Source organism: Homo sapiens, chromosome 13 (assembly GCF_000001405.40).
Source record: "Homo sapiens chromosome 13, GRCh38.p14 Primary Assembly".
NCBI lineage: Eukaryota > Metazoa > Chordata > Mammalia > Primates > Hominidae > Homo > Homo sapiens.
The window spans coordinates 92,640,302-92,656,018 of NC_000013.11; the positions used below are offsets into that span (position 1 = coordinate 92,640,302).

The following is a 15,717-nucleotide window of genomic DNA, read 5'->3' on the forward strand; positions in this document are numbered from 1 at the left end:
CAGGCTGGAGTGTAGTGGCGCGATCTCGGCTCACTGCAAGCTCCACCTCCCGGGTTCACGCCATTCTCCTGCCTCAGCCTCCTGAGTAGCTGGGACTGCAGGCGCCCGCCACCATGCCCAGCTAATTTTTTTGTATTTTTAGTAGAGACGGAGTTTCACCGTGTTAGCCAGGATGGTCTCAGTCTCCTGACCTCGTGATCCACCCGCCTCGGCCTCCCAAAGTGCTGGGAGTACAGGCGTGAGCCACTACGCCCGGCCCCAGATGGTTTTTAATACCTGTCCCTACTGAAAGGAACAAGAGCCTCTTGGAGAAATGTCTGGCTCCAAGGCTGTGACAAAGAAGGTACATGATGAATCTGGAACACCTTTTTGTGCCAGAAAGAAAGGAAGTGCTCAAGAAAACAATGGGGACATGCCAAAAAGAAATAGGCAATAGCTTGAAGGGGTTCCCACTGACCAAATCTAGGGACAATTTGAGTATCAAAATCAATGAGGATTGCAATGGATTGTAATGATTAAATAAAGTAGGATGATTAAATGAAGTAGGAAATTATTCATCTATTATAATAACCAAACAAACAGATATATGCATACATAAATAAGCAGAGGGGAAATAGAACGTTACTTTCAATTAGTGTGCCAGCTGATACAAGTGAAAGGAGTAGTAATGGGGTGGCGGGGGAGGGGAGGATGGGGGTGGCGAATACCATTTGCAACCATGGTGGTAAAGAATAATTCAGGCAAGAAATATCACGAGAATACTTATCTTTGGGAAGAGCTGGGTGAGAAGCAGGCTGCTTGCATGTTCTCAAAGTGTCTCATCACAGACTGCTATTCATTACAAGGAGAAAAGTACTGACTAAACAGTGGAGAATTCAAATGACACCTTGACCTTTTGCTGCAAATTAACCTCACCAATAAGAGGCATGTAGATGTCTTGTATTTGGGGATATGGTACCCCGAGAAGGACACCACATCACTGCTGCATTATTCCACTTGCAGCTGTATAACCGAGTCTAATCATGAGAACACATCAATCAAGCTCAAATGAAGAAACATCCGGTAAAATTACTAGCCTGAATTTTTCAAAACTCCCAATGCCATGATAAAGAAAGGCAGAGAAACGCTGATAGAATAAAGAAGGTGAAAGAGATATAAAAACTAAATGCAGTATATGATTCTAGACATGGAATATGAACTACATAGATTAGATGAAAATATTACTTTAGTGTTAAATTTCTTGAATTTTATTATCTTCAGATGCTTATTTGAGGATATTTAATTCAGTCTGGAGAGTTTTATTGCAGTTTATTTTACTTCCCAATTGGTTTGAGGGGAAGAATTTCTTCAGCTGAAATGTTTTGACTCATATTTTCTGTTCCTACAGTAGCTTTTATATTGTAGTTTTTGTAGTTATGTTTTTTATTCTGTTCCCAGGTATCATAGAAATGGAGTTCCTAGTTCAAGAGTATCCTTTTCTATAAATAAAGTAAAATGCATTTATTTAATAAGAGATGTTGGCACTTTGGGCAGAAAGGGAGTGGTAGGCATGTGATACTTCTCTTTCATCTGGACATATTCCTTAATTTTACCTTATTTTTTTCCTTTCTGTGCCATGACTCCTGATCAATCAGATAGACAGCTGAAATTATTCTCAGATCTGAAATTTTTTCTTATTCTGTTACCAGATTTGTAGCTCTTCAAAGCATGTTTAACCTGTACACATAGTCTCATTTTCACTGCTGGTGTTGACAGAAAAAAAAATATTTCAAAAATAGAAGCTAGGGATTGTAATATAATGTAGGTATATAACGGCAATGACACTATTTCTGGTTTTCCTCTGCTTTGGGTCTACCTGAACAGTAGTGTGCACTTGCTGTGAATGGTAGGGCCCACCTACATTAGGTTGGTGATTTATTGTTGAAGTAAAAAAAACTAGTGAAATTTTACTGAGTAGACTCTTGATCAGCAGGATAGCAGATGTCTCCCAGAGTATTTTCCTTCTCAAATTTACAGGGCTTCTACCTTTCATAAAAATCCATCCTCACCTGTGACTCATCTTTGGATATAGCCTCCTCTTGGCGGTCTTTGGGAATGCCTCAAAGCAGAATTAATCCTACCGTACTCAGTGTTCCCTCGACTCTTCTTCCATTACATGGTAGTCCATTGGTGTCTCAACAGGTCTGTATATTATTAGACTGTGAGCTCCCTGCTCCCTCAACCAGATAGAGATTGAAGAGGACGCCATCTCTGTCTACTAAATCGTGTGAGGCCGTTACAAATGGCCGACATTTGTAGGCCACTACATCTGGGCTACTACTCAAACACTTATGTTTTACCCAGCCCTTGAGTTTGCAAAGTGTGTTGAGTCAAATTTGTAGTTAGACAGTTTAGCCGAGGGGAGCTTAAATGTTCCATGTAGAGCAGTGGGAGAAATATGTTATTGTTATTGTTGTTGTTCCTGAAATAGAAGAAACAGAGGAGAGAGAAAAGAAGTGAAGAATAAACGAAAAGAGAAGTAGAAATGCAGTCTGCAACAGATGACAGGAGACTGAAGCTAGAATCCAGACCAGGCCAAGGGACTTTATGATTTTAAGGAGGTTGGCTAACGCACAACTTTAGGTATTTGCAGTGCTACAACGGTCAGTTATATACATGTTTCTGGCTCTTGAAAACTTGAGTAAGATCTGTTAAAACACACATAGCTGCATAAATGTCTTCTTTTGAGAAGTGTCTGTTCATGTCCTTTGCCCACTTTTTGATGGGGTTGTTCGTTTTTTTCTTGTAAATTTGTTTGAGTTCATTGTAGATTCTGGATATTAGCCCTTTGTCAGATGAGGAGGTTGCGAAAATTTTCTCCCATTTTGTAGGTTGCCTGTTCACTCTGATGGTAGTTTCTTTTGCTGTGCAGAAGCTCTTTAGTTTAATTAGATCCCATTTGTCAATTTTGTCTTTTGTTGCCATTGCTTTTGGTGTTTTGGACATGAAGTCCTTGCCCATGCCTATGTCCTGAATGGTAATGCCTCAGGGATCTAGAACTAGAAATACCATTTGACCCAGCCATCCCATTACTGGGTATATACCCAAATGACTATAAATCATGCTGCTATAAAGACACATGCACACGTATGTTTATTGCGGCATTATTCACAATAGCAAAGACTTGGAACCAACCCAAATGTCCAACAATGATAGACTGGATTAAGAAAATGTGGCACATATACACCATGGAATACTATGCAGCCATAAAAAATGATGAGTTCATGTCCTTTGTAGGGACATGGATGAAATTGGAAATCATCATTCTCAGTAAACTATCGCAAGAACAAAAAACCAAACACCGCATATTCTCACTCATAGGTGGGAATTGAACAATGAGATCACATGGACACAGGAAGGGGAATATCACACTCTGGGGACTGTGGTGGGGTGCGGGGAGGAGGGAGGGATAGCATTGGGAGATATACCTAATGCTAGATGACGAGTTAGTGGGTGCAGCGCACCAGCATGGCACATGTATACATATGTAACTAACCTGCACAATGTGCACATGTACCCTAAAACTTAAAGTATAATAAAAAAAGAACACACACACACATAGCATATGTAAGAATTTTGTTTTTATGAACACTAAGGAAAATGCTGTGTTTGTTACATGACTGGCCAAAATAATTAGCAAAAGAAACCTACACATGGAACAGCTGCATAATTTTGAAACTAAGTTAAATCAGAGGAAGCATGGGGGTAGGTAGGAGGAGGATTACTACAAAATTATAAGCCTATTGATAATTTGTTAAAATCCTGAGGAGGATTTTTAAGAAAGTGTGCACTGAAAGCTTGAAGCAATCTCATCTAGTGTTTAAGAAGAAGGATTTCCTTGCTGATTTCTACTATGTGTTTTTATTCATACACAGGCACATTACCTAACAGGCTATTTACTTAGATAAGAGGTGAGCTCAAGGTAAATACCTGTACCTTTGCTGCTAGCTTTAGAAACAAATATCTAATAGGATCTATTTTGACACTGCAATGGAAACTAGCAAAATTGGAAAACTCCTTAGTAAGTGTTCAACAATAGAGAAATGACTAAACAAATTAGAGTATATTTGCCCTATTTTGTACGTGTCACAATCACAAGACTGAAATCTGTCTATATAAGCTGACATGTTAAGTTCCCTAAGACATAATGCCATGTGACAAAAGATATGTTGTCCTACTGTACAACTGTCCTAGTTATGCAAATGTTCAGGAAACTATGTATTAACAGCAATTGACCCCAGTTGAAGGATTTGATTGGAGGGAAAAAAGGTAGATCTTTACTTTCCTCTTCCTATCCTTTTATGTCACTCAAAATTTTGTCATGAGAATTAATATATATGCATGAAATATTGTAATATATTAATATATAAATCAATACATGTACACTATAAAACAGAACATCTGTTTTTGGAACATGGTTAGCTGAGCTAATGCAAAATGCTTTCTGTTACAATTAACATGGTGGAGAATTATAAAAATTGTGCATAGTGCTGGGAGTTCTTGGAAAAGAAATGGAGATGGAAACCCACAGATACTGTAAAAAAAAAATGGAAGGAGGTGAGATTGCATGAAAAATGAGAACCATATAAGGTAAACTTTGTTGGACTTATGACTCAGTCATAGGCTCTCAATAATATAGGTTTGGGAGTCCCTTTTTACTCAACTTTATTGTAGTAGAATTTCAGAAGGTGACATTCACTAATTCTACTTGCACAATTCAACATGTTTTGATAAAAGCATAGTTACATAGGCCCTACTACATTCAAACTTTAAAACAATCCCAGCCAGAAACTCCTCTGGTGCCCCTTTAAAGTCAATTCCTTTCTACCATGCCTAGCTTCTGGGCCCAGGCTGGAGTGCAGTGGCATGATCTCAGCTCACTGCAACCTCCACCTTCCAGGTTCCAGTGATTCTCCTGCCTCAGCCTCCCAAGTAGCTGGGACTACAGTGCCCACCACCATGCCTGGCTAATTTCTGTATTTTCAGTAGAGACGGGATTTCACTATGTTGGTCAGACTGGTCTCGAACTCCTGACTGGGAATCTTTAAATGAATTTTTGTCCTAGTAGTTTTGTGTTTTCTATAATTTAATATAAATGTAATCATGCTTGAAGAAGCTTTTTAAATCTAACTTTTTTACTTAGCATAATGCATTTTAAAGTAAGTCTTGACTTTATATGTATTACGTTTTCCTTGACAAAAACCTAGAAAAGAGTTGCTCAGTCATACAATAAGTGCATGTATGAATTTATAACATAAAGTGCTAATCTGTTTTCCAAAGTGGCTATAATAGTTTACATTCTCATCAAAAACATATGAGAGTTTGATTGTTCATCCTTACCAGAACATGGTTTTGTTATCTTATCTTTATTTTTATATTAAATGTTGCAATAAATGATATTTCCTTGTGGTTTTAATTTGCATTCCCCTGATGATTAATAATTTTGATCATTTTTTTATTTGTCATCGCTATCATTGGTTTTTGGTGAAGTGTCTTTTCAAATATTTTACCTAATTTTTTTAACCAAATTGTTTGGCTTCTTAATATTGAGTTGTAAGAATTCTTAGTATATTCTGGATACAAATTCCTTTTCTGATATATGATTTGCAAATATTTTCTCCCATTCTGTGGATTATCTTTTAATTTTCTTAATGCTGATTTTTAAGACCAGAGTTCTTAATTTTCATAAAGTCCAATATTTCTAATTTTTATTTTTATTATTTATCCTGTTTTCTCACCTTATCTAAGAAATCTTTTCCTAACCATGTTCATAAAGATTTTCTCAAATACTTTCTGCTAGAAGTTCTAGAGTTGTACATGTTACATTCAGGCCTCTGATCTATTTCAACTGAATATTTTTATAACAAGAAAGGTGAGGATCAACACTCATCTTTTTTCATATGATCACCAAGTTACTCAAGCATCGTTTGTAAAAAAGTCTCTTCTTTCACCATTGAAAATCAATCATTGTAGAATACTAGCTGACTATATATGTGTGGATCTATGTTTAGACTCTATAATCTGTTCCATTGATCTAAGTCTTACTTTACCTCAATGCAACCCTATCTTTCTTACTATAGCTTTATAGTGTGACTTTAAATCAAACCATATGAATCCTCCACGTTTGTTCTTTAAAATAGTGTTTTAATTATTCTCAAGGTTTGCATTTTCATATAAGTTTTAGAATCAGCTTGTCAATTCAACAAAAATACCTGATGGGATTTTGATAGGGATTGAATTGAATTTATAAATAAATTTGGGTAGAACTGAGATTTAAATAATATTTAGTCTTTTATTCCATACACATAGTATATCCCTCCATTGCTTTATTTGCTTTATTTTTATGTTGACTTTTTTATCAATGATTTTTAATTTCCAGTACACAAATCTTGCTTATATTTTACTAGATCTATTCTGAATAATTTAATGTTTTTGATGTATTGCAAATGGTATTATGTTTTTTAATTTCAATTTTCAGTTTTAGCTCATATACAAGGGTGTGATTTTATATATATGTAAACATATACATCTAACTATCTGTAAACATATATGTAAATATCTAAACATATATATGTAAATATATATAAACATGTGTGTGTGTGTGTGTGTGTGTGTGTGTGTGTGTGTATATAAACCTGGCATTCTATGACCTTGGAAATTTCACGTTTAAATCAGTTTAGCTTTTCTGTAGCCTTTTTGAGATTTTCTAAATAGCTAACATCTGTTAATAAAGACAGTTTTGTTTTTCCCAGACTGCATGCATCTATCTTTTCTTCTTCCCTTATTATTTTCACTAAGACCTCAGCCTAATGTTGGATATAAATTGTTAGAACAGACATCCTTACCTTGTTTTCAACCTTAGGGGATATTCCTCAGTCTTTCACAATTTGCTATTATATTCACCGTAGGTTTTGTCAACTTAAAAGTGTTCCTTATCTTTCTGATTTGCTAAGATCTTTATAACTATAACTAACAAATGTTGAATTTTATCAAGTGCATTTCTGCATGTATTGAGATCCTCCAGGTGCTTCGATGTCAGTGCTCCTGTTTCAGGGCCAGGCAATGAGATTTGCCTGTGTTTTCATACAAAAAGCTGAATCTAAGCTGCCTACATAGGCTCAGGAATAAATACAGCACCCTCAGTTGACAGGAACTAGAAAATTCCTCCTCTCCGGTTGAAGACATGACAAGGAATCTTGGTTCTGCTCTGATTCTGGACACCAAGAAAATCTCATGAGATAATCAAACCTCAAGCAGAGTTTGAACTCTAATCTGAAATACAATTATAACAATAGAGTTCCAGAGTTCAGACATTAACATAAAAATTGTTTTGAGTACATTATAGAATCAAAGGCTAAATATTCTGAAGAGACATTTCTGCCATAAAGGCCACATGGTATCTTTAATTGAGAATAATGGAAGCTAACTCTTCTGAACTCTTCTTACTGTATTGAAATTTAAGTAGAATATATGATAGAATATATATATTTTTCATTCATTCAACAAATATTTATTGAATGTGTCTGTTAGGGGTCCAGGCATTTTTCAGACTCTAATATGATGAAAGGAAAACATGACAAATCATGTCTTGTTCCAAGGGGAGATTATTATTATGATTTACATGGTACTGCAACCAAATGTGTTCATCTTATTAGAGTACATATTGATTGCATATAACATGATAGCCTCTCTTAGGATATAAAGTAATTTTATATCTAAAATGCTTGTGAAACCTTTTCTAAATAATCACTAATAATCTAAAATATATACATATGTGATTATATATAATCTTCACTTCATTATTTTTGGTAAGAACATAAAAAACTGGCTTTGTTCTAGGAAGTTACTTTGCTTTGTGATATTTCTGCATTTATCCTCTATACACCTCTTATTAGATAGAATTATGCTGAGTTACTACAAATGAAACCAATTTTGATACATTATTTGTTTTGTCAAGAGGCAACATGCTCAGTCTTTGCAATGCATCTATTCTTTTGGAGTTATTTTAAGATACATGCTTCAGTTTAGCACCATACTAATCATTTTATAAAAATATAAGAAATCTAATTGCTGATATTCAATATTAGGCATATTTTATGCTCCTATTTTATCACCAAAGTAAAGCCACCTCCTAGTGCAGATTTAATTATTTGGGTAGCCACCATTCACCTCTGCTATCAAATATTTCCAAATTAATTAGTTATTTCAATGTTTTTGCCCTATTTTGATTTGTCCAACTATTTCATTTCTAATTAAACTCATTTTACTTAAGTTACAAACTAAGCAGATGTCTTGATTTGTTGTTTCAGACATTAAGAAAGTTATATTCAGTCTTTAATATATTTAATAGAACAAAACTCAAGTTGTTGTTTTGCTAATTATTCTATACATAGATTAAAACATTGATCCCTGTTAAAATCATGCTATTTAATGCTAAGTTTTGTTGAATGAAGGGAGGATCAAACTGGGGCATGTCATTTTTTGACAACAGAGTTAACTGAGTGGCTCCCAATTGCTCATTAGACGTAACTTTCCTTTAACAGCATTACATGTGAGCTTCCAATAGGAGTGCCTTCTCATGGAGGGTGGTTATTCATCAGGCAAGAGGATATAAGTATGTATAATAACCAGCTAGAACCTTCAGTATGCAACAGGTTTCCTTCTGCCTTCGTGTATAATAGTCACCTTTAAAGCTGGAGCTTTTGCTGAATGTTGTTGATATATTATAACAATATCCAGAAAATGCACTCTATTTCCTCGCTAATCCAAAGCAGACAATGGCATATTTCTAAATTAATAAGAAAACTGAAAACCACAAACATCTATTTCCACAATCTTGTTGCTGACATTAGGATACATGTTAACATTTAATCCAAGTTCAATTTAAATTCTTCCATCAGTTTTTGTTTAGTTGCTGTGGAGTTTTATAGGAAATTCAGATAGCTATAGGCTTCCCCTATAAGCTCTCTTCAATAATTTGATTCTTGCCAATAATAAATCTGTCCATCATAGTAAGTGATGCTTTTGTTATTCACATTGCTTTGTTTATTTAACAAAACTCTATTTGTATATCTCCACTGAAATCCTTGGTAATTTTTGATTGTCTATAAAATTGTGTTTTAAAATTGGCATTGAGTTTCAAATCATAATGCATAAACTGCCAATGGTATGACACTCATTGTTTATTTTAAAGTCATGATAAGTATAATTCACTTTTCTGCTACATGGACCAGTGCCAAGTAGAATTACAAGGGATAACAAAATGTCTTTGAAACAAACTTTTTACTAGAGAAAAAAGCAAACAGTCCCTGATATGAATCAAGAAATTTAGATTACCCTCCTGGCCAAGCAACCACCTGCCTGTAATTTTGTAAAACAAACTTGGTTCATTGGTGTCTCTCTCCTTGTCAGTAAAGTAAGACAGTAATAATTGAATTCATTATTCTCCCTATCAGAAAATAGTTTATTACTCTTAAAACGTAATTTCCTTAACCTTTGAAACTCTGTGACTTTAGTTTATGATTATTGTCTTTAATTATTGGCAATACTTCGAATAATTTAAAAATGCTAGGCTAGGCAAGTCCATTGTACTCATTTTATGCCTCAGAAATATTCACAATTGATGGATTAGTCTTATTATTTAGAAAACCATGTAGAACTTTAAATATAAAGACTCAATGTTGATTTGAGGGATTTTTGTTGTTGTTTCTCATCATAAGTTCACCTGTAAGATTTTACTTTCAATGTAGGTTAGTATCATAGATTTTACTTACATCTGTTATTTTTCATTTTTCACTGAGTATACAATATACCTAATTCTTCAGTGTTATTGTTTGTATGTCAGGTAGGAATGCTGATCATTTAGGGTTTTGAATTTTTCAAAACCTATAGCATTTTGAAGTCAATGCCATACGCTTTCAGGATAACAAGTGAAACAGCAAAAGGACTCATTTTCCATTTGATATCTTACAAATATAATCATATAAGGAAAGTCCCTTCACACACTATAGGATTCTGCCCTCAGAAATGTCTCTGTTTTCAGTGATTTCCAGAGCAAATGGGCTGCAAATGAAAATTTCACTTAATACAAACATGCTTCCAAATATTTTTGACATGTTACCAATTTTAGCTCAAATTTAATATTTTAATAATTGTGTTATGAATACTAGTACTAAGGCATCAATTGTAAATCAGTATTAGGTTCTATGATGGAAACACAGTGCATATACAGGCCAGATATTCTTGAAAAACCACATAATAGTAGAGCTCATGCTTGAATAGTTTAAGACCTTCTGAGAAAAGTAAACCTGATAAATTAAAATTTGCATATATTTATGAAAGTCCCTATGGAGATTTTGCCCATTAATGGACTTAAAAAAAGACAGCATACCTTTTGTATGAATAATAATCATTGGTATACAGTGAAATTTTTCTTTTAGGGTTTCCTTTTATTAATTTTTTAAAATTTTACTTTAAGTTCTGAGAGACATGTGCAGAACGTGGAGGTTTGTTGCATAGGTATACGTGTGCCACGGTGGTTTGCTGCATCTATTAACCCATCCTCTAAGTTTCCTCCCCTCATCCTGGTGTGTGTTGTTCCCCTCCCTGTGTCCACGTGTTCTTATTGTTGGACTCCCACTTATGAGTGAGAACATGTGGTGTTTGGTTTTCTGTTCCTGTGTTACTGTGCTGAGGATGATGGCTTCCAGCTTCATCCATGTCCCTGCAAAGGACATGATCTCATTCATTTTTATGGTTGCACAGTATTCCATGGGAATACTATGGGACCTTGTGATCTTGTGAGCTAATACTTAATAAACTCCCCTTTATATATATATGTATATCTATCCTATTAGTTCTATCCGTCTAAGAGAGACCTGACCAATACACCATATGAAAATTGAAAAAAAAATAGAGTTACTTTGTAGTGGAGAAATTTGACAAACACTACCCCAGCCAAGTGATCAAGGTGAAAATCAACAGTGATATGCCTTGTTGATAATATGTCATTGAAATGGTGTGATGAAAATGGTACTTTTCCACTGTAGTCTTCTCCAGAACACATAACCTCAGTCTAATCATGAGAGAAACATCAATCAAATCCCAATTGAGGGGCATTCTACAAAATACCTGACAAGTACTTCTCAGAACTATCACGGTCATCAATAATGTGAAGATCTGCAAAAGTGTCACAGCCAAGAGGAGCCTATAGAGACATGACAACCAAATGGAATATATGATTGTGGTTGGGATCCTGGAACAGAAAGAGGATGCTACAGAAAAACTAAGGAAATCTGAATAAAGTGTGGGCTTCAGTTAATAATATATCAATATTGATTCATTAATTGTAAAGAATGTACCATACTAATGAAAAATGTTAATAATAGGAGAAATTTGATGTGGGCTGTATAGAAGTCTCTGTACTATCTTAGTAATTTTTTGGTAAATCTAAAACTATTTTAAAATTAAAAGCTTATTAAAAAGAAATTTAAAATGTGATTGATAATTAAAGTAGTATAATTATGCAGCTGATGCTATAATTAAACTAATAAGAATATAATTAGATTCACATGTACTGATATGGAAGAACGTCAAGGATACATTATGTAAAAAAAAGCAAATTGCAAAAATATTGCATTTTTGTGACCCACTTTATGCAAAAATGTGAACACATATGCATACACCCAAATATTTGAAGAGGTACATACTAAAGTGTGGTTACATTAAAGATAGCAATAATATTGAGGGTTATAGGAAATGGGGTAAATGTGGGCATAGGGTTTTTTTCTATACATTTCTCTTATTTGAATATTTTATAATAAACATATATTTGCAGATACTTACAAGTTATTTATGGTTTAAAATACTTTTCTCAGATATATTTTAACTTCTTTTTGCTACCAAGCTTTCCTTAATCCATTATTCCCTTTCATTAATGTGACATCAAGTGTCTTCTCCAATGCTTCTTTTTGCTAGGCATGTAAAGAAGAATAGGTTTCTCTCAGGTTAAAGAGGAAAATAAGAAAACAAAACAAAAAAGCTACCTTATGCCTTTTAGTTACCCTGTATTTTTTTTCTGCCAAATTTCCTGATTTCATTATTTCTACTTCCTATGTAGAGAAAACTATGTAGTTTTCTCTGCTGGTTCACTGCAGGCTGTCTTCTGCCTTTACCTCTCTACTCAGTCTAGAGTGTGGCAACCTTCCTGACCGTGGTGGACAGGGTAAAGCTCTGGGCAGATTTGGACTGTGTGTCTGAGATTTTGCATATTTTACTTTACTTTCCTAATCTCAATGTCGTTACCTCTAAAATGAGGACAGTATCCTTCTTGCTAATTTCTAGTATACAAACTGATACATAATACATTTTAATAAATATTGATCAGATGATCTAAAAAGCAATCTCATCATAGCATCATGGCAAAGATGCAATCCCTTATCATCTTTCCTCTAGATTCTTGCAATGGTCTACTAGTGTTATAGATGAACTAACTTCCCTAAAAGAGTCTCAGTGTGTCTGCCCTCACAACCCTTCAAATCTCTGAGTCAACACAATATCCAGCGTGGGCCCATTGTAGCCTAAAAAGTGTGCATCTCTCCTCTCCTCAGAACCTTCCAGAGCTTACTATTGCACAAGAATGTGAGTTTGTGTAGTGTTTGTATGGGTGTGTGTATATGTGTGTGAGAGACTACAATGTGTATTTGCTGAGGTAATCCTAGGACTCACCAACACTGGAGTGGAAAAATATGGGAGGGAAGAAAGTAAGCCAATAAAAGTTTTGTTATCAAGCAGCGTACTGCTGTGGGCACCAGGTGCCTAGGCTCAGCAGGAAACTCAGAAGGATAGGGTGAATATGACCCAGAGCAGTTCCAACCAAGGTTCCAAGAAGCTGACAATTTGGTCCATACCATCTGACAATTATTGGTTGATGGCTGCTTTGGGGAAGGAAGTGGAAGGGATGCATTCGTTTCTAGCATGCCCAATCTACTTTATCTTTAAGCCTGGCAAACTGTCGCAGCCAAAGAGAGTGCTCAGTTGAAGAGTTGTTGATAGGGAGCATACCCAAGAATGGTGAAAGCCAGGAAGATACGGATGGGCTGCAGACAGCATCTGCTAAAATGTCTTTTTTTCAAATATCTCATGTATTTGTATTTCCTTTCTAACCCCATGCATCACTTAAGATTCTTTAGGAAATAGAAAGCATATTCAAAGGGGATAATTAAAGAGAATGTAACAAAATGGCTATTTATAAATATGTAAGCAGTTTTCAAGAATTTCACAAGTTACAAGAAAGCTAGATGGACTAAAGCTATTTCCATGGTCTAAAGGAGCAAGGGTAAGGAACAGACACTTGAACCAATTAGATGTGTAATTTCTGTGGCCTTACACATAAGTAAGTAGCAGAAATCAGGCACTGCCAAGCTATGCCTCAGCAGGGAAGGATCCTGAGAAATCACACTCAGATTGATCTCTCCTCCAACTTCTGATCTGCTGTCTTTGCCTTTTGTTGGTCAAAGCAACCAGAGTGAAGTAGTACTTAGTCAGTGCCCAGAGCTCAAAACTCAGTGAAGTATGAGAACTGAAGCCAGAAGAGCAGGTGGAGAATATTCAGCATGACTAGGGCAATGCAAGTTGCAAGAGAGCCTGACTTTTATCCTTCTGTGTCCCACACTATCCCCCACAAATAGAACAGTGCCTTGCACAGAGTCAGTACTAAATAGATATTTGTTGAATGTTTCGGTCCATTCACAATACTTTTGCTATTCTTTGTAAATTATTCCAGGATTGCACTTTGTTTAATTTTTGCCTTCCAAAAAGTGCAAACTGATATCTCAATATTGTGAATGAATACCCTTAAAATGTTTAAGTGCCTCATTATAGGGGAGAGTCACAGCTTCTAATAATCATGATGTAAAGATTGGTTTTTTAAAAAAACTGTTATCTTCCCTTATAACTCAATATTTCCATTTCCTTTTCTAAATGAAGCAATAAAAATGGTTTTCCAGAGTTGTCAGATAGAGTCCTTATTCACAAATTGTTTGACTTCCATGAACACAAAATAATTCCATTTGATAAGGCATATTTTATTAGTATTTACCATTACTGTTAAGGAAAGGCTTAACTAGGAGACTGCCTAGTGCTGATATAGGATGACCATATATCAGAAAAAATATATTAAATTACACTTGACCATTTCTATATTTCTAATTTGAGAGAATAATTCTGTCAGTCAGTGATTCAGGATCCTGCATTTAATTAGCTGTTAAACCTTTATTACGATTTTGGATTTTGTCACTTTTTTGTTGAAATCGTTTGACAAACATGATTCATTGAAAATAATATTCTCATGTCATGTTAAAAATAGTTTTGTAATTTTATTTTTATACTCAACTCTTTTTACCTTGTATTCATCAAAAAAAAAAAAGTAGAAGTAAATGTATCCCCCCAAATTTCATTTCTACCTGGGCCCTGTGAATGTGACTTTATTTGAAAACAGAGCATTTTCAAATGTAATAAAGTTAAGACGAATTTACACTGGATTGCTAAAGATCTGAAATCCAATATGACTGATGTTCTTATAAGAAGAGGGAAATTTGGAGACAGACACAGGCACATGGAGGAGATGCGTTTATAGATGGAGACAGAGGCTGGCATTAGGTTGCCACTGGCAAGAGTACCAAAGATTGCTGGCAACCACCAAAAACTAGGGAAGAAGCCTGAGTTAGATTTTCCCTCAGAGCCTTCAGAAGGAGCCAATCCTATCCACACCTTCATTTCAAATGTTCAGACTCCAGAACACAAGAGAATAAATATCTGTTGTTTGAAGTCACCAAGTTTGTGGTAATTTGTTGCAGCAGTCCAAGGAAATATATACAGAATAAAATACAGTACCAAATCTGTTCTCATCCACCGGCAAACATTTTTTGTAATATTCTGGAAATGAAGAGTTGATTGCTTTTATTTATTTATTTATTTATTTATTTATTTATTTTATTTTTATTTTATTTTTTGAGACAGAGTCTTACTCTTGTCACCCAGGCTGGCATGCAATGGCACAATCTCGACTCACTGCAAACTCCGCTTCCTCGGTTCAAGCGATTCTCTTGCCTTAGCCTCCTGAGTAGCTGGGATTACAGGCATGTGCCACCATGCCCAGCTAATTTTTGTATTTTTAGTAGAGATGGGGTTTCACCATGTTGGCCAGGATGGTTTCGAACTCCTGACCTCTGGTGATCCACCCTCCCCGCCCTTGGCCTCCCAAAGTGCTGGGGTTATAGGCGTGAGCCACCGCACCTGTTCGGTTGCCACTTTTGGAGTATCAAGAGTCAGCCTTTGTTAGTAAGCATTTCTATCTGCCTGTTTGGGTTGAGCAAAATTAGAACTGACAACAGACCAGATGCTTCTATTACCAGAATTTCAACCTCCAGAGGATCTGGATAACAGTTTTCAAGTAACTCTCATAGTAGCCTAAGCTTACTTAAACTCTAAAATGAAAGAATAGAAATAGACTCAGGATGCCAAAAAGTCATATATTTATCTGATTTAAACTCATCAAACTGAAATTTAAAATAAAAATTATCTTGAAAACCTGCTACATAGCAAACACTGTATTAGGTTCTGGGAATACAACCTTGAATAAGACAATTTCCCTGACTTCAAGGAATTCGAAGTATAACT

At 35.2% G+C, this 15,717-nt stretch overlaps 1 protein-coding gene and 1 long non-coding RNA gene across 4 annotated transcripts in view; one reads left to right on the top strand and one right to left on the bottom strand.

The window, feature by feature from the left end:
• GPC5 (glypican 5) overlaps positions 1 to 15,717 on the top strand; it is a 1,468,617-nt gene that overhangs the window by 1,241,681 nt on the left and 211,219 nt on the right. The window lies entirely within an intron of this gene.
• Positions 1 to 15,717, bottom strand: part of LOC105370315 (uncharacterized) — a 67,055-nt gene that overhangs the window by 29,656 nt on the left and 21,682 nt on the right. Inside the window, exon 3 of one of the 2 annotated variants that reach the window (XR_931644.3) lies at positions 11,936 to 12,011. The exons of the other annotated variant lie outside the window; for it this stretch is intronic. This is a non-coding gene — a long non-coding RNA (uncharacterized LOC105370315). Of the gene's footprint in view, positions 1 to 11,935; positions 12,012 to 15,717 lie in introns of those variants that run through there. 2 annotated transcript variants of the gene reach the window in all.